Source organism: Homo sapiens, chromosome 14, assembly GCF_000001405.40.
Source record: "Homo sapiens chromosome 14, GRCh38.p14 Primary Assembly".
In the NCBI taxonomy this organism is placed as follows: Eukaryota; Metazoa; Chordata; class Mammalia; order Primates; family Hominidae; genus Homo; species Homo sapiens.
Genome location: NC_000014.9, coordinates 55,376,275 through 55,398,870, shown reverse-complemented (window position 1 = coordinate 55,398,870; position 22,596 = coordinate 55,376,275). Strand labels below are relative to the sequence as shown.

General features: G+C 42.0%; 2 protein-coding genes and 1 pseudogene across 7 annotated transcripts in view; 2 read left to right on the top strand and 1 right to left on the bottom strand.

The window, feature by feature from the left end:
* Positions 1-22,596, bottom strand: part of FBXO34 (F-box protein 34) — a 171,629-nt gene that overhangs the window by 44,179 nt on the left and 104,854 nt on the right. For 2 of the 5 annotated variants that reach the window (XR_007064026.1, XR_007064021.1), the window contains exon 5: positions 14,650-16,538. The exons of the other annotated variants lie outside the window; for them this stretch is intronic. The gene's annotated coding sequence lies outside the window, so the exon portion shown is untranslated. Of the gene's footprint in view, positions 1-14,649; positions 16,539-22,596 lie in introns of those variants that run through there. 5 annotated transcript variants of the gene reach the window in all.
* ATG14 (autophagy related 14) overlaps positions 1-22,596 on the top strand; it is a 45,440-nt gene that overhangs the window by 12,960 nt on the left and 9,884 nt on the right. The window contains exons 2-9 of one of the 2 annotated variants that reach the window (NM_014924.5): positions 1,437-1,499; positions 2,889-2,931; positions 7,879-7,960; positions 12,775-13,012; positions 16,680-16,909; positions 18,181-18,298; positions 20,797-20,887; positions 20,967-21,052. In NM_014924.5, the coding sequence (NP_055739.2) occupies positions 1,437-1,499; positions 2,889-2,931; positions 7,879-7,960; positions 12,775-13,012; positions 16,680-16,909; positions 18,181-18,298; positions 20,797-20,887; positions 20,967-21,052 (951 nt within the window). Of the gene's footprint in view, positions 1-1,436; positions 1,500-2,888; positions 2,932-4,154; positions 4,223-7,878; positions 7,961-12,774; positions 13,013-16,679; positions 16,910-18,180; positions 18,299-20,796; positions 20,888-20,966; positions 21,053-22,596 lie in introns of those variants that run through there. The other variant, XM_011536563.3, reaches the window with a different exon arrangement.
* Positions 3,544-4,556, top strand: HMGN1P1 (high mobility group nucleosome binding domain 1 pseudogene 1; annotated as a pseudogene).

Genomic DNA, 22,596 nt, shown 5'->3' with positions numbered 1-22,596 from the left:
ACAATTTTTTTTTTTTTGTCCATGCCCTTATTAAGCAGCAAGCCACATCTTAGGCACTCAGTAGCCATGTGTGGCTGGTGGCTACCACATTGAACAGCACAGATCTAGAAGACATTTATAGAACACTGCCCAACAGCTGTAGAATACACGTTATTTCAAGTACGCGTGGAACTTTCTCCACGGCATACCATATGCAAAGCCATAAGACAGTCTCAGGTTACAAGATCGAAATCACACAATATATTTTGTAACTACATCAGAATGAATTAAATTAGAAACAATAACAGTAAGCTACCTAGAAAAGCCTGTATATCTGAAAATTAAACAATATGCTTCTAAATAATGGATGGGTAAAAGAAGGATTCTTATGGAAGATTAAAAGTTTCAAACTAAATGATAATGAAAATACACAATATCAAATCTTAGGATATAGCTATAACAGTGCATAGAAGGAGATTTTAAACTTCATGTGATTATATTTAAAAGGAATAGAAGTTTAAAATTGACCTGAGTTATCACCTTAAACTGCAAAAAGAAAACAAAAACAAAAACAAAAAACCCAAGTAAGTTGGCAAGAAGAAAATAAAGATAGAAAACTGGCAAATAGAAAATAATAACTATGCTGGGCGCGGTGGCTCACACCTGTAAGCCCAGCACTTTGGGAGGCAGAGGCGGGCAGACCACCAGGTCAGGAGATCGAGACCATCCTTGCTAACACAGTGAAACCCCGTCTCTACTAAAAATACAAAAACAAAATTAGCTGGGCATGGTGGCAGGCGCCTGTAGTCCCAGCTGCTTGGGAGGCTGAGGCGGGAGAATGGCGTGAGCCCAGGAGGCGGAGCTTGCAGTGAGCCAAGATCGCACCACTACACCCCAGCCTGGGTGACAGAATGAGACTCCATCTCAAAAAAAAAAAAAAAAAAAAAAGAATTACTGCAATGTGATACCTCTTCTTTTTGATAACTTTTACAAGTAATTTTTTAGCCTATGATAACTAGCAATAAAATTAGTGAAAAAAAGTCTACAATTTTTAAAAATTTATTATAAGGAATCAGTTTATAGGAGAGAGCAGGATTGAATCCAGATTAGTAATTAAAATTTGTTTTCTAGTGAAAGCATCAATTTCCTTGAATTCAAATTCACTTTAGTGTTCTGATGTGCCTGTTTTGACAAATAATTTAATCTGGGCGGAAGATATCTATAGACATATTTTATAAACACAGGAAATAATTTTAAAGTTGAGGATTTGAGCTTAGTTTTAAAAGAACCAAATGGTTAGCAGTTGTGTGCACCCCGTTGAGAAGACGTGTATTTACTATCAGGACAATGACATTTTCACATGACTCTGCAGAATGATTGGTTCTTGGGAATTTGCATAGTCTCATTGAACTGAAAAAATGACCATTTAAATAAGACATTGAATTTTTTTGTTACAGGTTTATCGACAAGAAGGAAAGGTTAAGCCGACTTAAGAGCAAGCAAGAAGAATTTCAGAAAGAGTGAGTGTTTTGTTTTGTCTTTTAATTTGTGGAGGTGATCTAGTCAACATTTGGTTGAATTCAGTGCTGTGGTATGCAGATATACGGATTGCTAACTTACTGAATTTAGGATACAACCTCTTAAAGTGTAGGAAAGGAGTGCATGTGGGAGAGGTAAAGCAGGAGAAGTTACCAAGTTTCTAGAAAATACTGGCCTCAGATCCGGTGTGTGGTATACAGTAGATACTCAGTGAATCAAATCCCTGGCACTGATAATTGATGTGTGGGTCCAGGACAGTCAGCATGATTAGTAGACTTAAATTAGTGCTGGTGGCTCCCATAGGACATTACTGCTTCCATTTACCATTCTTCTTTTGTCCATATCAGTATTTTACAACATATGGTCTGCACATTACCTGTATCAGAATTCATTAGCTGAGTTAATGGTTAAAAATTCAGATTCTTGGAATCCTATCCTCAGAGATTCTGATTCAGTAGCTCTGGGGAGAGGCCTAGGAATCTGAGGTTTGTTTTTTTTGTGGGGGGGAATGGTGGGAATCTGAGTTATTAACAGGCACCCCTGATGAATCTCTGACCCCCTAGGATTGAGAATTGTCCTATAGAACCTTCTGGTATAAAACCTGCTCCCTAGATGCACCCTAGAGGTTTGCATCTCTTGTGCCTTCATTCAGTTTCTCTTTACCTCAGTGCTTTTCCTCTTCTCTGAGCACGCCCTGCCCAACTCTCAAGGTTCTAAAAGGGTTGTCTCTTTTGTGGCATCTCCCCAAACCATGCCAACGTGGATGTCTCACACCCCCGATGAAAACAGTTAATGCTCAGGCCACTGATTCCCAAAGTGTAACCCAAGCTTCTCTAGAGTTTGCAGTGGTCTGATAAACACATTCATGAGCAATTTAAATCTACCAGGATATTCTGTATTAGAGAAACTTGCTTGAATTTATTTAACTCTGCAATTTCCCTAATTACTCAAACACAAAAACTTTATTTTTCCCATAGAACATTTTATTCCATAGAACCAATATGTGGAGATGCTGGCATGTATCATTTCTTTGGGAACTATTAGATCATTAATTCTCTTGTAACTATTGCTATGAATTATGACGGATGGCAGTTACTGATGATGACTGAGGACAAAGGCTAAGACTGTTAGGCAGATTTATTGTGGACATTTGTAGAAAGGCTCTTAGCAATATTCAGAACTACAAAAGGAAGGAGATGAAAAAAATTGCAGAGAACAGGGAATTTGGAAAACACTTTAAATGCTAAGTCCCGTTTTGATATTTCTAGCCATTTCTAAGGACTTAATTTTAAGTGTTTGATTTTACATTTTTGAACTTCACAGAATTTTATTATTTTTAAGAGCTTATTTTCTGTCTCTTTTCCTCACAGAGTGTTAAAAGCTATGGAAGGAAAATGGATAACAGATCAGTTGGTAAGTTGTAATACATGTTCTTTTTACTTGAGGCTACATGTTTTTAAGTTGGTAGAGCTTATAAAATTATTTTTAATTAAAATTTTTAAAAATCGTATTTAGCAGTCCTCTACTTAATCCACTTGTAGCGTGGCTTTCTCAAATATTTCATCTAGTTACCAAAAATGGGGTATCGGCAATTAATTATGGAGCCATTGTAAAGGATAATTATGAAACCTGACATGTTGACATAGAAAAACAAAAACAATGGGCTGTTATTCTTTTTTGCAAAAATTATTTATCATACACACTCCAAATGGATTAATGATTAAATGTGTCAAAGAAAATATGGGTGGCTATTTACATAATCTTGGAGTGGGGAGAACCTTTATAAACCGTAGAGGAAAGCATTTTGACAGATCATATAACAGTTTAAAACTTCCGGCCAGGTGCAAGGGTTAATGCCTGTAATCCCAGCTACTTGGGAGGCTGAGGCAGGAGAATCACTTGAACCCGGGAGGCAGAGGCTATAGTGAGCCAAGATCGTGCCACAGCACTCCAGCCTGGGCAATAAAGTGAGACTCCCTCAAACAAACAAACAAACAAAAAATTTAACAATTAAAGAGTTTGGGAGAGGCGTGGCAGCAGCCAGGCAGCCCGGCTTTGCTGAGGCTCTAGATGCACTATGCCTCGCAGGCGCTTGGCACACGCCTTCCCTGCAGCCAGGATGCCCAAGAGGAAGGTCAGCTCCACTGAATGGGCCACAGAGGAAGAGCCCAAGAGGAGATCGGCACGCTTATCAGCTGAACCTGCTCCTGCAAAAGTGGAAACGAAGCTGAGAAAGCAGCAGGAAAGGATAAATCTTCAGACAAAAAAGTGCAAACAAAAGGGAAAAGGGGAGCAAAGGGGGAAAAGTCAGAAGTGGCTAACCAAGAAACTGAAGATTTACCTGCAGAAAACAAGAAACTAAAACTGAGGAGAGCCCCTTTGAAGTGTCAGTGCTTTTTTTTAGGAGGTGAAATCATTCTCTGGTTGTTTACTTTTTGGTACAACCAGAAGACAGTGTGGGATATTGAGTAGTGGGAGGCTTTTACTGTCTTGGGTGTCAGCTTAGCATTCCGTAGTTGGGGGGTTAGTTTTTATATCCTATAATACCAGGCATACTAAATGGCACTATGGAGTCACAGTCCTGCATTTAATGTATTGAACATTTTTAATTACTTCTGTTCCCGTGTTGTTTTTTAGTAGAACTGTTTCCTAAAGAAAACTGCTCCTTGATGATGGCTCTCCCTGTCAGAATTTCGTGCACTCTGTGAGCTCTTTGGTCGTGGTAGTCCTGTTTTCCTAATAACTTTGATACAGTGCTGTGAAAGATTGAAAATTTGAATCTGTAGTGTACATGCTATTCAGTTGTGAATTGGTGGGACATGCGTAACAGCTTATCAATGTGTGAAGATAGTGGTACTTGATGACTTTATAAGGAAAGTTTGCTTCCAGATTTTAAGCTGGAAAGTCACTGGAATAACTTTAAAAAAGAATTAAAATACATGGCTTTTAGATTTTGGGTATGTATATTAAGAATTGGGTACAAATTGAAATGTCTGTGTACTGATCTTCAACACAACCAGTGAAATCTCAATTATGAAGGAAAAAAAGGGCCAGGCACGTTGGCTCATGCCTATAATCCCAGCACTTTGGGAGGCTGAGGCAAGTGGATCACAAGGTCAGGAGTTCGAGACCAGCCTGACCAACATGGTGAAACCCCATCTGTACTAAAAATAGAAAAATTAGCTGGGCATGGTGGCACACGCCTGTAATCCCAGCTACTCAGGAGGCTGTGGCAGGAGAATCACTTGAACCCAGGAGACAGAGATCACAGTGAGCCGAGATTGCGCCACTGTACTCCAGCCTGGGCGACAGAGCAACACTCCATCTCAAAAAAAAAAAAAAAAAAATTATGATACTGTGTAGTTGTTAAAAAGAATGTGGTCAGTCTACGTGCTGTGGAATGATGTCCAAGTTGTATTTATTAATGGAAAAAAATAATAAACTAGGATAAAGTATGATTTCATTTATGTATTTTAAATATAAATATACTCTTATAAAATCTGCGCTGGGTGTGGTGGTGGATGCCCTGTAATCCCAGCACTTTGGGAGTCCGAGGTGGATTGCTCAAGCCCAGGAATTGAAAACCAGCCTGGGAAACATGGCAAAACCCCATATCTACAAAAACGAACAAAAACCAAAAATTAGCCAGGCATGGTAGTATATACCTGTAGTCCCAGCTACTTGGGAGGTTGAGGTGGGAGGATCACTTGAGCCAGGGAGGTCAGGCTGAAGTGAGCTGTAATCACACCACCATACTCTAACCTGGGCAACAGAGTGAGACCCTGACTCAAAAAAAAAAAAAAATCTGAAAAGATACACATTAAACTTTAATTTTAAAGGATTACCCCTGAGAAATGGGAAGGAGTCAGGCTAACAGTCACATTTTCTGTTTTTCTTCTGTAATGTGTAATTTTTTTTCACAACAGTAAACATTATTCATATATTTCTTTTTTTTTCCTCTTTTTTTTGAGACAGAGTCTCGCTCTGTCACCCAGGCTGGAGTGCAGTGGCGCGATCTCGGCTCACTGCAACCTCCACCTCCTGGGTTCACACCATTCTCCTGCCTCAGCCTCCCGAGTAGCTGGGACTACAGGCGCCCACCACCACGCCCGGCTAAGTTTTTTTGTGTTTTTTTAGTAGAGACGGGGTTTCACCGTGTTAGCCAGGATGGTCTCAATCTCCTGACCTCGTGATCCGCCCACCTTGGCCTCCCAAAGTGCTGGGATTACAGGCGTGAGCCACCGCGCCCAGTCATATATTTCATTATACTTAAAATTTGTGATAGAAGTGAATTTTGCTTATTCTCTGAATGTTTTAGTAAACAAAACATGTTCTGTGGAAGATTTTCCTGAGTTTTCTGTAATGTTTCTAGTTTTTCTATCTAAGACTTCAATATTCATTTCTAAAGACTCTGTTACCTTTTAAAATTGAGGATAGGTCATATCTGATATATTTCTGAACCCCTCAGTCCCTGTGGATCTGTTTTTGAATGTCTGACTCTATTCGAGATGTTAGAGTTTCGCTCACCATAACATCCCTGTAATCTGTTCTGTGTCTCTTACCATCAGACTACTTAGATAAGTGTAACACCATGAACATTTGAGCATTGTTTTAAGCTTTTAATTATTCACTTTACGGAGTCATTAGAGAATAATCATTCTTTTTAACTAACTAGTAGATCCTTCTTTTTTTTTTTTTTTTTTTGAGGTGGAGTCTTGCTATATCACCCAGGCTGGAGTGCCGTGGCACAATCTTGGCTCACTGCAACCTCTGCCTCCTGGGCTCAAGCGATTCTCCCACCTCAGTCTCCCTGGTAGCTGGGACTATAGATGCATGTCACCACACCTGGCTAATTTTTTGTATTTTTGGTAGAGATGGGGTTTCGCCATGTTGCCCAGGCTGGCCTCGAACTCCTGAGCTCAAGTGATGTGCCTGCCTCAGCTTCCCAAAGTCTAGGATTACAGGTGTGAGTCACTGCACCCGGCCATAGATCCTATTTTTATTGATCCTTTGTTCACTTTAAGGCAGGGGTCCCCAACCCCCAGGCCACATATACCTACTGGGCTGTGGCCTGTTAGGAAACAGGCCATACAGCAGGAGGTGAGTAGGGCAAGTGAGCATTACCACCTGAGCTCCACCTCCTGTCAGATCAGTGGTGGCATTAGTTTCCATAGGAGTGCGAACTCTATTATGGACTGCACATGCGAGGGATCTAGGTTGTGCACTCCTATGAGACTCTAAAGCCTGATGATCTGAGGTGGGACAGATTCATTCCTGTAAATCATCTGCCACCCTGTCCGTGGAAAAATTGTCTTCCACAAAACTGGTCCCTGGTGCCAAAAAAGTTGGGGACCACTGCTTTAGGGGGTGCTGAACCTAACTCCTGGTAATATAAAGAGTCAATTTCATGTTTCATATAATTTTCTGAGGCTTTTCAGGAAATCTTACTTGAGTTATGCACTGAAAAAATAATGTTTTTTGCCATTTTTATTAACTTGCAAGTACTAGTTGCTTATTGGGTGAGATGACTTGGTTATGTTAACCGTCTCCTCAGTAACCAGAACTAGAGGTTTGGAGCTGCACGTCAGTAGGACTTTGCGTGATGATGCTTGAGTTCTGTATCTGCGCTGTCCAGTCCATTAGCCACTAGCCATATGTGATGTCAAACATTTGACATGAGGGTGGTGTGAGTAAGGAACTGAATTTTTGATTTTGTATGATTTAAATTGAGTTTTAAGTAACCACATGTGGCTAGTAGCTATATAGCTAGAGCGGGTTTAGAGAATGTCCTTCAACTTTTTTCTCTTTGCTTACTGATACATACAAAACTATGTGAATTTCTTTCTCGTAATTTCCCTTTCCTTTTTTTTTTTTTTTTTTTATGGAGTCTCACTCAGTTGCCAGGCTGGACTGCAGTGGCGTGATCTCGGCTCACTGCAAACTCCGCCTCCCTGGTTCAAGTGATTGTCCTGCCGCAGCCTCCCGAGTAGCTGGGATTACAGGCATGCGCCACCACGCCCAGCTAATTTTTGTATTTTTTTAGTAGAGATGGGGTTTCACCATGTTGGCCAGGATGGTCTTGATCTCCTAACCTCTTGATCTGCCCTCCTTGGCCTCCCAAAGTGCTGCGATTACAGGCGTGAGCCACCGCACTGGCCTAATTTCTCTTTTCTCTGCATTGAACTAGAAAAACATCGTTCTCTTTTTCGTAATGTTCCATAGTTACAAAAGCTATAACATAAGGTCTTTTTCTTCATTATGTTTTCTGACATATCTGAAAATAAGCAGTGATCCCAGGTAGATAATCATATTAACCATAAGAGACCAACGTTTGTGATATTTATTACATGCTTTTTTCAGAGATGGAAAATAATGTCCTGCAAGATGAGGATTGAACAGTTAAAACAAACAATATGTAAAGGAAATGAAGAAATGGAGAAAAGTAAGTAATTCGTGTCCTTCCTTCCAGCCCTAGAAAGTGCCTATGTGGAATTTCATGGGATTAATAAACTAGAGGGACACAGAAAGGAAGGGGATGGTGGGGCAGTGGCAACTTGGAGAATTTTACTACTCGCCCTCATCTTTCCTTGTAAAACATTTGTATAAGGAATTTTTAAAAGTTAAATACACAATTTCAGAGGCCTTAAATAACCAGATTCTTTTCTCAATTAAAAAAGTTAGGCGCCAGGCGTGGTAGCTCACGCCTGTAATCCCAGCACTTTGGGAGGCTGAGGCAGGCGGATCACAAGGTCAGGAGATCGAGACCATCCTGACTAACATGGTGAAACTCCGTCTCTACTAAATACAAAAACTTAGCTGGGTGTGGTGGCGGGTGCCTGTAGTCCCAGCTACTTGGGAGGCTGAGGCAGGAGAATGGTGTGAACCCAGGAGGCAGAGCTTGCAGTGAGCTGAGATTGCGCCACTGCACTCCAGCCTGGGCACAGAGCCAGACTCTGTCTCAAAAGAAAAAAATAAAAAAGTTGGCCAGGCACGGTGGCTTATGCCTGTAATCCCAGCACTTTGGGAGGCCGAGGGGAGTGGATCACCTGAGGTCAGGAGTTTGAGACCAGCCTGGCCAACATGGTGAAACCCCATCTCTACTAAAAATACAAAAATTAGCCGGGCGTGGTGGCAGGCACCTGTAATCCCAGCTACTCAGGAGGCTGAGGCAGGAGACTTGCTTGAACCTGGGAGGCGGAGATTGCGGTGAGCTGAGATCGTGCCATTGCACTCCAGCCTAGGCAACAAGAGCAAAACTCTGTCTCAAAAAAAAAAGTTAAGGAATGTATGTTCCCATTTGCCTTGGCTAGCAGGAAGCTCAGAGTCTTAACTTGGTACTCACTTGTAATAATTATTGGCCCATGCCAGAAGCACAGAATATTGTTTTTTTTTTCCCTTAGTGAGTCTCCACATTGTAATCTGTATTAATCTTACATCATATTTGTACACTTTATACTTTATCATAGATCGTTGTCAAAATGAATTCTCTTAGAAGTCCTACATCCTTAAGCCACTTCCCATTTGCCCCAAGAATACTCGTTTCTAATCCTAATGTAACATCATATACATTTCTATTACATTAGGATTAGAGACAAGTTCTGTTTAGAAATAACTCCAAGAGCAGTTTTTATATTTTATTTTCACATTGAAAATCAGATTTACTTCAGACTCAAAGAGCATGTTTATGTAACATTAAATGAGTGCCGGCAGCAAGCTGCAGTCCATGAATTTCTGAAGATCACTGTTTAAAGTTTAGAATGAGTCACCATCAGACCTCGTGAATCCCTTTTTCTTGTCTACTCATTGCTTCCAGAAGCAAGTCTTTTATAGTGGCATGTAATGGTGTAAAGCTTCCATTGAAAACATTTGTCCTAATAAAGTGCTCACGTGGAGTTTCACGGGATTACTAAACTAGAGAATTAGGGCAGCACACTGAACAGTGCCCAGAACTATATAGAACCTACTTTCCACCCAGTCTTGCATGCATTCTCCAAAGGCTCTTTGTTCAGTAGCAACATCAAAACCCATTCCTTAACATTAGTTCATGCTCTCCCCGTCTTACCATGATATTCAGGGCTTTGCCACCGGGCATCTGTGAACCTCCTGAAAATTGCTGAATTTACTGATCATGCGTGTTTCTCTGATGAGCATGTTAAAAGCTCTGATCAGCTCTTTTTAACACATTCCTAACTCCCAAAAACAAAAACAACCACCACAAAGAATTAGACATAGATCTAAAGGAGTGGACCCTATAACAGTGGTTTCCATCCCTAGCAAATCATCAGTCACCTGGTGACCCTTTTAAAATCTAGAGAGAGAACCCTAGGATCTATCCTGGACTTAGGAAAATGATCACATGCTTGAACGTGATGGCAATGTCAAATCGCCATGTTGAAAAAAAAAAGCTTCAACGTGCTTACTCTGTATTTCTGTCCTCCTCTCATCATGACTGGTTAACAGTTTACAGATGGGCCCAGATCTAGACGCCACACTTTGAATAGCACTACTCCAGGTGGTTCTGATGACTTGCCAGGGTTGGGAACTGCTGCTCTTTTAGAATGTACATGTCTCCTTCCCACCCTCTAGACCAGACTTAGAAAATTTGCAAACAATTTTAGAGGCCAGAAACTATGCTCGGACTCATGCTTAAGAGCTTGTTGTTGTTGAATTATGACATGTAGTCATGAAAGGGCACAAATTATAAATTGTAGAGACTGATGAATTATTTCTCTAGAATCTTTTGACTTAAGGTTTCATGATATACATTATATAGTATAATACAGATATAGGGCATAGATAGGGAAGTTAGGTTATATGCCATTGCAGTGTTGAGTTGATCTGTGCTCTAGTCAGAGTTACTTATCTAAAGAAGCAAGAGTAGATTACAGATACAGCACCAAACATTTTGATGTTTATGGGGAGATGGTAGGGAGAGAGGATGACTGCCTGCTGAGTCTGCACTGGGTGCAGATGAGGTGACTGATGATTTCCTGCCACCTGCAAGTGGTCATGATAATAAATTTGAAATGGATCTTCCCCCAGAAATCTGACCACTGTATGACTCAGAATCATGGCTGGATAGATTAATTTCAGCACTTGTAAAGAGCTTGGTAAAGATAATGAAAATAAGTTAGCATGTGATGGAACCAAGAGACTGAACCTTTAGGACATTCACATTAAGCAGGATGGCAAAGAGATGTTGTTGTTGTTGGTTTTGAGATGGAGTCTCGCTCTTTCGCCCAGGCTGGAGTGCAGTGGCACGATCTCGGCTCACTGCAACCTTCACCTCCCGGGTTCAAGCAATTCTCCTGCCTCAGCCTCCCAAGTAGCTGGGATTACAAGCACCCATCACCACACCTGGCTGATTGTTGTTTCAAAACTGTAAGAAATTGGCCAGGTGCAGTGGCTCATGCCTATAATCCCAGCACTTTGGGAGGCCGAGGCGGGCGGATCACATTGAGGTCAGGAGTTTGAGATCAGCCATGGTCAAACTCCATCTCTACTAAAAATACAGAAATTAGCTGGGTGTGGTGGTGTGTGCCTGTAATCCTAGCTACTCAGGATGCTGGGTCAGGAGAATCAATTGAACCCGGGAGGCGGAGGTTGCAGTGAGCCGAGATGCACCACTGCATTCCAGCCTGGGCAACAAGAGCGAAACTCCGTCTCAAAACGAAAAAACTGTCAGAAATCTAATGCGTGCAACCAAATACCTAAGTTCAGTGGTGCTCAGTGAAAGAGGGTGGGAGGGTGGTTTGGACCCATGGACATTTATCAGGTACGTTTTATACCCTAGTTAGGAGACAGCAAGGCTTCAGTGGGACCTCATCTGAGGAACCAAGAGCTATGCGCCATCAGAAGAGTCTGAACACATTACCATAGGGTTCCGAAGAGCAAAAGGTCTGGGGAGTGTTTATGGAGGGGGGCCTTCCTGAATGAGTAAAATTCAAACATTTAGAAAACAGGAGCAAATAGATAGCCTGAGTGTTAGGGAGTGATAACTGATTCAGCATTCATCCATCCATACGTTCAAGTGGTTCCATCTTGCAGAAAGGATTTGAAATATGTTGCAATTGAGTACAGCTAGAGCGAAGGGTGTGCAGAGGGGAACTGTGGGGATATGTACCAATTTGGAGGAGGCCTTGAGGCTGAGGGGTTTGCTCTGTATTTGATGGGCAGTGGAGAACCACTGAGCATTGACTATAATTTGTAAAGATTGAGCAAGTGAAAGAGGGCATGAAGGCGTGGAGTCGAGCCGTGTTGGAGATAGGCAGAGTGTTGGTGAGCGTTAACTAGGATTGTGATAGTAGGAATGAAAAGAAAGGCCTAGATAGACAGACTTGGACTGGAAATGGAATTGACCATCAAGGGTTGATTAGGCAGTGGACACGTCAAAAATAATCTTGAAGTAGGGAAACTGGAGAAGATTTTCCTGGAAAAATAATGAACTTGATTTTGAACTTGGGTTTAAGTTGCCTAAGCAACTCCTAGATATCTGTCTGAGAGTTTACAGCTTGTTTTTGTCATTCAAGTGAAGTTTAGCTACAGCCCAACAGCCCTAGCAGGTGTAGGATCCAGAACTCAAAAGGACTCCACAAAAAGGACCTAAATCTGACAGGACGAGTGTATGTCTCCTCGTGGTTGTGTGGCCAGGCTTTTGTTTCCCTTGCAGCACTTAAAATGCTGGGCATGCGTGTCTAGATACCTCACCAGATGTGTTCCCACCCACCCTGCTGGTTGCTGCCACACTCCACTGTGACTTTTCAGAGCTCTTGGGCTGTTTCTCTTGCCCTTCTCCTCTACTGGATGACCACCTGCTGTGAGATTATCCCTGGGTTCTCTGATTATAGCCCAAGGCACACCTAAGAAGTTTCTAGGGAAATCAGATAGCCAGTAAGTTTTTCAAACTTGAATTAGATCTCTTTTCTGCCCAATGTGACTATTCTTTGGTGCACACTGTAGGAAAATCAGGTCCTTCCTGTGCTAAACTTAAACTCGATAGTTGTTGAGTGACTCCTTTTACTAGTGATGATTACAAATAGAGATCCAGAGTCATTTTAATCATGGTTCTCTTTGCTTTATGTGTAATATCTACTTGAACTAAACTCTCAAATTTTCCACTTAGTGAACATTATATTATTCAGGTTTTGCTTTCAGTTTAGATTGCAAGGGAAAACACGCATGTTTGTGGGGTGGAGCTCTGCAGTACACAGGAACTGTTTGCAGAGATAATTGTTGGGTGTGATTTATTTATTTTAGATTCTGAAGGCCTTCTCAAAACCAAGGAAAAGAATCAGAAGCTTTACAGTCGAGCACAACGGCACCAAGAGAAAAAGGAGAAGATTCAGAGGCATAATCGCAAACTTGGTGACCTGGTAGAAAAAAAGACCATTGACTTAAGAAGTCATTATGAGCGTCTGGCAAATCTTCGACGATCCCATATATTAGAGCTCACCTCTGTCATTTTTCCAATCGAGGAAGTAAAGACGGGTGTGAGGTACATTAAGCAAGTCTTTTGACTCCAGGAATAGATCAAGTTCCAAATACTTTTTAAAGTATGTCATTACCTTATTTATTGGGTCTTATTCTAGGGTCATTGGTTTTCCTGGTGATGGAACATAAGTCTTATCTGTTTCAACAAACAGTACGCACCGCAGAAAGCTGGGGAGGCAGCGAGGTGAGGGGTGGGGCCCACACTTGTGTACTGTCCTAGAGCTTCTAGATGAGGTGCTGACTCACACTCCTGATTAAGAACCATCTGATGGCTGGGAGTGGTGGCTCACGCCTATAATCCCAGCACTTTGGGAGGCCGAGGCAGGCGAATCACCTGAGGTCAGGAGTTTGAGACCAACCTGGCCAACATGGCAAAACCCTGTCTCTACTAAAAATACAAAAATTAGCCAGGCGTGGTGGCGCGTGCCTGTAGTCCCAGCTACTCAGGTGGCTGAGGCAGGAGAATTGCTTGAACCCAGGAGGCCGAGGTCGCAGTGAGCCAAGATTGTGTCACTGCACTCCAGCCTGGGTGACAGAGCGAGACTCTGTCTCAAAGAAACAAACAAAAAAAAACCAGAGAACCATCTGATGGGTGGTATTGGGCCATTTATTAGTTGTGTGTTGTGAGGCATGTTCTTGGACCTCAAAATCTTGATTTCCTTGTCTGATAAATGGGGATTTAAAAATGCCTTTTTCACAGAGAAATCATGACAAATACATAAGAAAACATCTAGAGCTTGGGGTCTCTTAGATGGTGGGCACTACATGTTGGCTTAGCCTTTTCCTGGTGACCGCTGCTAAGATAACTGTTATCAAGCACTGAATACCGTGACTTCGGTCTTAGGCGGTAGTGCATGGATAACCCCTGGTGGGACAGACAGGACAGTGGTTCCCCCATCTGGCTGTTCATCTGAGAAATAGAGGTTCCAGAGGGCACCCCTCCAACCTCCCAGTCCATCTTGTAATATTTCTATATCTTTAAACTTCCCTGATGCTGCTGCTGATCAGCAGATTTGGAAACTACTACCGAAGGCTTCCGTTTATTCCCACAAGCCACCAGGCTGCTCTAATTGAGGATTTTCCTGTCTCTTCTGGCTGCTCTCACTCTCCAGCACCTTTTCCTGGAAACTGACGTTCACTGGACTATTGCTAGTTTCATAACTATTCTCTTCAGTCTGTCTTTTAGTCTGTTGCCAGAGTTGGCTTCCTAAAAACCAAAAAGACTGATTGCTACTTCCAGCTTGAGAAGCTGCTCTCTTGACTCTAAGTATTTTGTCATTAGTAAGAGTTGGCAAATAGAAAAATAAAAAGGCAGATTCAAAATAGAGCAAAATAGAAAGTTTTTAGGAGACTGACAGCTGAGTGCAATGTGTGATCTTGAGTCCTGAACCCCAAAAGAGATATTAGCAGGACAGTTGGAGAGAGGTGAATAAGGTCTGTAAATTAGTTAATAGTGTTGTAGCAGTGCTGATTATCTGGTTGTGATTATTGTATAATATTTTCCTGAATTGATACTTTGGGGAAGTTGAGTGAAGTGTATACAGGGAAACTTTAAAATTCTTGCAGCTTTTCTGTAAGGCTGACTTTTTTCAAAAAGAAAATACACACACGAGGAGAAAATATGAAGAAAAACTATTTCTGTGCTGTTTTAATCTTTTATTTAGTGTATGTTATTATATGCCATTAATTTTTTAAAAAGAAGCTGGTGGTTTTAAAGTTACCCTTCTAATAAGGTTTCTTGTTTGCCTTTCTCTCAACTTCTTGTGGGAGAAGGGAGACGCAGCAGTACAGCTCAGAACTGGCCACAGTCTTATCTGTGGCAGGCAGTAGCAGCTATCTTATACGTATGTTGTGGCAGAAGGAAAGATACGAAGAACCACTGGCCAAGAGGACAGAATCTAAACTTGGTGCAGCACAGAAGGCCCTTCCCAGACTGCCTGCTTCCTACCTGCTTTCCCAGTACTGTCGCCTGGCACTTCCCTTGTGCATCCCACACACCAGCCACACTGACCATCTCTGTTCCCCAAGCATGCTATGTTCTTCCCCCTCACTGCATTTGTACCTGCTGTGACTTCTCATGGTGGGTTTTTTTTTGTTTTTTGATTTGAGAGGGAGTCTCATTCTGTTGCCCAGGCTGGAGTGCAATGGTATGATTATAGCACCATTCGTGAGCTCAAGCAGTCCACCTGCCTTGACCTTCCAAAGTGCTGGAATTACAGGCATGAGTCATCATGATGGGCTTGTTATTTTTTGTTGTTCTTGGGGGTTTTTTTTGTTGTTGTTGTTGTTGTTTTGTTTTTTTGTGTTTTTTTGAGATGGAGTCTCGCTTTGTCACCCAGGCTGGAGTGTAGTGGCATGATTTCGGCTCACTGCAACTTCTGCCTCCCAGGTTCAAGCAATTCTCCTGCCTTAGCCTTCCGAGTAGCTGGGATTACAGGCACCCACCACCACGCCCAGCTTATTTTTGTATTTTTAGTAGCGATGGCATTTCACCATGTTGGCCAGGCTGATCTCGAATTCCTGACCTCAAGTGATCTGCCTGCCTCAGCCTTCCAAAGTGCTGGGATTACAGGCATGAATCACTGCACCTAGCCCTGTTGTTTATTTTCTTTCTTTTTTTCCCCCGAATATTTTCAGTCCTCGGTTAGTTCAAGACATGGAACCTGTGAATACAGGGCTGGCTGTGGCATATGATGGCATGGGACGCGTGCGTAAGGCCCTTGTGCTGCACACTGAAGTACCATTGCTGGCTCAAGGAAAAGCACTTGAGAGACTGAGCTGCACGCTGAACTAGCTGCTCTTTTTGTGGGATGCTATTTTTACTTGAAAGAACAACAGAAAGACTTGAGTATTAAAGAGAGTTTAAAAAATGTAAAACAGTGTCACTCTTTACTAATTTTTTGTTTTGAAAGTTTTTTCATAAAAATGTATAATAGGTTTATTGGTATTTTTGAATGAATTATTTATATTTTTCTCAGTATTTCTAATTCAGTATCAGTAATCTAACCCATATAAACAAAAGTTCTTTGGAATTCCAAAGTGTTTTAAACACGTAGAGAGGTGTTGAGACCAAGTAGTTTGAGAACCTTATATGTTCAGCCCTACCTCATGGTTCCGTCTTCCTCACATTGTGTGGGCTTCTGTGCCACAGCTGGTTTGATCTTCCTCTCTGATAGCAAGCTCTTATCTACGTATATTTCAGTTAAATTCCTGGCCAGGCATGGTGGCTCACAACTGAAATATTTGCACTTTGGCTGGTCACGGTAGCTCATGATTATAATCTCAGTACTTTCAGAGGATTGTTTGAGGCCAGGAGTTCAAGACCAGCCTGGGCAACAAAGTGAGACCCCATCTCTACAAAAAAAAATTTTTTAAGTTAACCAGGTGTGGTGGTAGGTAGGTACCTGTAGTCCCAGCTACTTAGGAGGCTGAGGCAGGAGTATCTCTGGAGTCTAGGAGTCAAGGCTTCAGTGAGCTATGATTACATCTGTCACTGCGCTCCATGTTGGATAACAGAGTGACACCCATCTCTAAAATAAAAAATAAAAATTTAATGTAAAATTTCTGTGCTCATAGGCAGCTTTTCGATGTTCTAGCATGTCTTGCAGTTATATTGCATGCCCTTAAAAACCCTCTCTCTTGAAAATCCGTGTGTGTCTTCCTACTTGTAGAGACCCCGCAGATGTGTCTTCAGAGAGTGACAGTGCCATGACCTCCAGCACTGTGAGCAAGCTTGCTGAAGCCCGGAGGACAACTTACCTCTCAGGACGATGGGTCTGTGACGATCACAACGGAGACACCAGCATTAGCATTACAGGGCCTTGGATTAGCCTCCCTAACAATGGGGACTACTCTGCCTACTACAGCTGGGTGGAGGAGAAGAAAACAACCCAGGGGCCTGGTGAGAAGCAGCATATCCTTTGAAATCTATATATAGAGAGAGTTATAGGTAAAATTGACATAACAAAATGAAGAGCTTTCAAGTGAACCATTCAGGGGCATTTAGTACATTCACAGCACTGTGCTCCCATCACCTCCATGTCATTTCAAAACATTTTGATCACCCCAGACAGAAACCCCATGGCATGAAAGTGTCACATTTCCCCACTCTCCCTTCCCCTCAGCTCCTGGCAACCACACATTGCTTTCTGTGTCTATAGATTTGCCTGTTCTGGGCAGCTTATATAAATGGAATCACAGAACATATAGCTTTTTGTGTCAGACTTCTTTCACTTAGCGTAATGTTTTCAAGATTCATCCACATGATAGTATATATTAGTGTTTCATTCGTTTTTATGGTTGAGTAATATTCCATCATATGGATAAGACACATTTTATTTATTCATTCATCACTTGATGGACTGAAAACATTTTTTAGATGTCTCACCTTTTGGGGGTTAATATTGTCTTGTTTATGTAAGAGGACGTTATTTAAAGAAGTATATTTAACCCGTTTAGACCCATATTTATAGTGTATAACTTTGTAATGTGTTTTAGTAGTCCTAAATGGAGACTGAAAGGCCCCAATGGGAAAACCCTTTAAAACCCCTGCAGTTTCTCTTTGGTGGAGAAAGATTCTTTGTTCATTTCGTCACTCAGTAAATATTTAGTGAGCTCATGCTTTGTGTCATGCACATTGCTGGGTGCTGGAGATACAAAGGTGACCAAGACAGAGGTGGCCCTTTGCCCTTCTCAGGGGAGAAAGGTAGGAAGCAAGTAAATGATCGAGATGCTGTACATTGAGTGGGTGCCATGGAAGGAACTAGGGGAGCATCCTGGGGCAGGATGGGGTACAGAGGAAGGGATGACTCTTCCGTAGGGTTGTCAGGAGAGCCCTCTCTGGAGAGGTGACATTCAAGTTGGGCATTTATTGTTTTGATATTACGTTATCAGGTTCACACAGGTCAGACTTTAATTTCATTTATGTTGGGTCTATTTAGGCCCATTTGCTCTGTTACATTGCTCTCAGCAAAAAAAAAAAAAAAAATATATATATATATATATATACACACAAAGAATGGACCATTTATGTCTGGTCATGGAGCATCTATTAAGGAAGCACTAAAACGTAACAGTGCTATCATGATAAAATCATAAATGATAAACTCGTGGATTATTAGTAGTTTTGTTGGAATTAAGGTTTTGTACATGGTGGTTGTTTTCTTACTGCAGACATGGAGCAGAGTAACCCTGCCTACACCATCAGTGCTGCGCTGTGCTATGCAACTCAGCTGGTCAACATTCTGTCTCATATACTTGATGTAAATCTTCCCAAAAAGCTCTGCAACAGGCAAGTAATTGAAGGTGGTAATGTCATCTTTATCATGGCTCTTTCAAGTTTCTATTTTGTCTTTATTTATTCCAATAAACCAAAAATAAGAATGTAAGTATTACCAAGACAGAGAAGGTCGGATTGAAATATTGAGATTAATTTCAAAAGCCTTATGTGCAGATTCGTTTCATTATCTTACAGTTGTACGTGAAGTCTTCCAGAAGACCACAGAGAATATAAAGGGGAGTATCAGGATGTTCAGAGGGTTTGCTGCAGATCCTCATATGTTAAATCGCAGCCGTTGAATTCTTTGATTTGTTGTTGTTGTTGTTGTTGTTGTTTTGAGACAGAGTCTCGCTCTGTCGCCCAGGCCAGAGTGCAGTGGCGCAATCTCTGCTCACTGCAACCTCCACCTCACAGTTTCAGGCAATCCTCCCTCCTCAGCCTCCTGTGTAGCTGGGATTACAGGCACCCACGACCACGCCTGGCTAATTTTTGTATTTCTAGGAGTGAGGGGGGTTTTGCCATGTTGGCCAGGCTGCTCTTGAACTCCTGACCTCAAGTGATTCACCTGCCTCGGTCTCCCAAAGTGCTGGGATTACAGGTGAGCCACTGTGCCCTGCCCTGAATTCTTTTTGTTTGTTGTTGTTGTTTTTTAATAAAAAACTCACATGGTTTAAAATTCAAAACATTTATACAAAAACTAGCTGGGCATGGTGGCCTGCGCCTGTATCCCAGCTATTTGGAGGCTGAGGCAGAAGAATCGCTTGAATCCGGGAGCTGGAGGTTGCAGTGATGCTGAGATCACACCACTGCACTCCAGCCTGAGTGACGGAATGAGACTTCGTCTCAAAAATAAATAAAATTCAGAAAATTTAAAGATATACAGCCTACCCAGTTTGCACTACAATCTTCCTACTACCCTCCAACTATCATTGCATTTCAAGCATATATAAACATATTATTACCATCTTCTCCCACTTAAAGAAATTCTTATTCTTTTTAATTTTTTTAAAAAATTAAAAGTTTACTTTCTTCTTTTTCTTAAGACAGGGTCTCACTCTGTCGTCCAGGCTGGAGTGCAGTGGCACGATTTTAGCTCATTGCAACCTCCGTCCCTCCCCAGGCCCAAGCAATCCTCCCACCTCAGCCTCCCGAGTTGCTGGGACCACAGGTTCATGCTACCACACCTGGCTAATTTTTTTTTGTATTTTTTTGTATGAGACAGGGTCTCCCTATGTTGCCCAGGCTGGTCTTGAACTCCTGGGCTCAAGCGATCCGCCCTCCTCTGCCTCCCACAGTGCTGGGATTACAGGCATGAACCACTGCACCCGGCCATCATCTTCCCCCTTTAAATAAACACTGTTTACACTTTGCTTTTAAAATTTTTAGTTATGTAACACATATTTATGAAGTACCTACTGTGTGCCAACACTGGAGGGTACATTGGTGACAAAAAAATAATCCTTGCCCTCTTGGAGCTCACATTTTCATGGAGGGCCCAGCATAAATAGTAAACAAATCAACAGCATGTCACATGGCAGTAAGTGCTGTGGAGAACGTTAAAACAGGATGAGAGGGCCAGGTATGGTGGCTCATGCCTGCCTGTAATCCCAGCACTTTGGGAAGCTGAGGCAGGAGGATCACTTGAGCTCAGGAGTTAGAGACCAGCCTGGGAAACATAGTGAGACCTTGTCGCTACTAAAAATAAAAAAAAATTAGCTGGATGTGGTGACACACACCTATAGTCCCAGCTACTTGGGAGAGTGAGGTGGGAGGATCGCTTGAGCCCAGGAGATTGAGGCTGCAGGCTGTAGTGAGCTATGATCATGCCAGTGCACCCCAGCCTGGGTGACAGAGTGAGACCCTGCCTAAAAAACAAACAAAAAAGGTAAGAGGGAATGTGGTGAGAGAGGGGCTTGCTGTGTTTGAGTGGGCAGGTGTGTGATCATAGGGGAACTGAGGGAGGGAGGGAGGAAGGGAGGGAGGCAGCAAGCAAGCTGTGTGGACCCCTAAGGAAAGAGGCTGTGGGTAAAAAGAATGGCAGTTGCAAAGTCCTGGATAGAATAACGAGGGCAGAGAGGAAGATGGGGTGCAAATCTTGTGGGCCTCATAGGGCCGTTATAAGCCTTTGACTGCCATTCTGCATAAAGCAGATGACAGTTGTATAGTTTGCCTTTCTGTAAAGGTGTCAAGATCTTACCAGTCTGCTGTTGATGCTTCAAGAAATAATCTTGTACATTTTTCATTTCATTAGTGTGCAGATATTTGTGTAGAATAAATGTCCTGACGTGGAATTGCTTGGTCAAAGGGTATGTGCATTTGTAATTTGTATAGATGCAGTATAATTGTTCTCTGAGGGGAATGGTGTATTCTTAGAAAGTCTTTAAGTGCAATTTACTAAGGAGTAAAAGGGCACAGAGTATGTGTTATACCTAATTGTACTGTAAATGGAAATTTTAACATAGAATTTCCTCAAAAAATGCAACTTTATAAATTGTATGTTTGTTTTACAGTGAATTTTGTGGCGAAAATCTAAGCAAGCAGAAATTTACTCGAGCAGTGAAGAAACTGAATGCAAATATTCTTTACCTTTGTTTTTCTCAGGTATGAAAAATAGGTTGTGAACTAATTTTTACTTTGTTAAATAGTTGAAAATATTAACCAATTCTTTAATTTTTTTTAGCATGTAAATTTAGATCAATTACAACCACTGCATACCCTCAGGAATCTAATGTACCTGGTCAGTCCAAGCTCTGAACACCTAGGCAGGTAAGAAGATATTTGTTGCTTTTCTCTAAGTGTTTTTGTGAATCCTGTTAGAGGAGTTGTATGTTGGCATAGTAGAGTCGTGTTCCCTAATCCCAAACTCCTCAAACCGGACAAAAATAGTGGAGTCCAATACAGAAAGAAACAAAGGTAATTATATTTGAACTTTTATGGGTTTTTTTTGTAATCATGTCTTAGAAAAAATTAATATCAATCATTTTTAATACCTGAAGCGCAGTTGAAGAACCCACATGTTCCTGGAGTAGTGCCTTTTTGTGCTTTTCCTGAAGTCCAAAGGCCATGTCTTTGGATCTGCGTCTATTTCTTCTCCAGCCCTTCCTGGACATAGACCCCTTTATAAAAAGCTGTGAACTCTCTAGCCCTACCTAGTGTCTGCCCTGTTTCCTGCACATTTTCTTTTGCTCCTCCTCACTCCTTGTCCGTCGTAACAATTCACAATTTCCTTTTTTTTTTGAGATGGGGTTTCACCCTTGTCACCCAGGCTAGAGTGCAGTGGTGCAATCTCAGCTCACTGCAACCTCCACCTCCTGGGTTCAAGCGATTCTTCTGCCTCAGCCTCCCAAGTAGCTGGGATTACAAGTGTGCACCACCATGCCTGGCTAATTTTTGTATTTTTAGTAGAGACAGGGTTTCATCATGTTGGCCAGGCTGGTCTCAAACTCCTGACCTCTGGTGATCCACCCGCTTCGGCTTCCCAAAGTGCTGGGATTACAGGCTTGAGCCACCGTGCCTGGCCACACAATTTTCTTATCACTGAGTCAATCTGATCACCATTTGTTGGAGATAAAAGGTATTAGAGGTGTAGGGGATGAACTGGTTTGAAATCAATGAGCTTAAAAACAGTTAAACAAAAAATACCAACCAGGGCTGGTGTGTGAGATCTTTTTATTCTCTCAGCCCATGAAAGCATGTACTGTACGAGCCTTAGCTTTCGTTCCATCCATGCACGCCTGTGCTGGGTGTTTGCCCTTTTTTCCTTGCTCTTAGCAGTCTGTCCATACATTTCTGCAGAGATGTGATATGGTTATATATTTACACTTTTGAAAGAGAACTCAAGAAAAGACAAATGGCGGGAAAGTTCTTTTGGGTTTCCCTTCCGCATCATCCATCTACTGAAACCCAAGGCATTAGGGGAGGCCTCGTCCACTAACACGTGTGCCTGGCTTCCCCCATGCAGCAGTTAACTTTCAGTGATAATCTGCTTTTAACCATTGTCTTATGCTTCCTCCCCCTCCCCACCTCAGATAGTTAACATTTCCAGGACATAGACTCCTTTATAAAAAGCTGTGAACTCGCCAGGAAACTGCACATATACTTACAATGTTGTGCCATTTTACAGGGAGTTCATGCCTCTCACCCCTGATCCCATTCATTGGTTCATGAGCCATGGAAACGTGAACATTAGAAATCCATCCCAGTTTTGATGGTTGGTTTCTGTGAGTTTACTCACCATCCTCTCTGTACCTTACCTGTAAAGGGCTCAAATTAGGAAATTTATCCTTACTAATAAGAGCTAATATTTATTG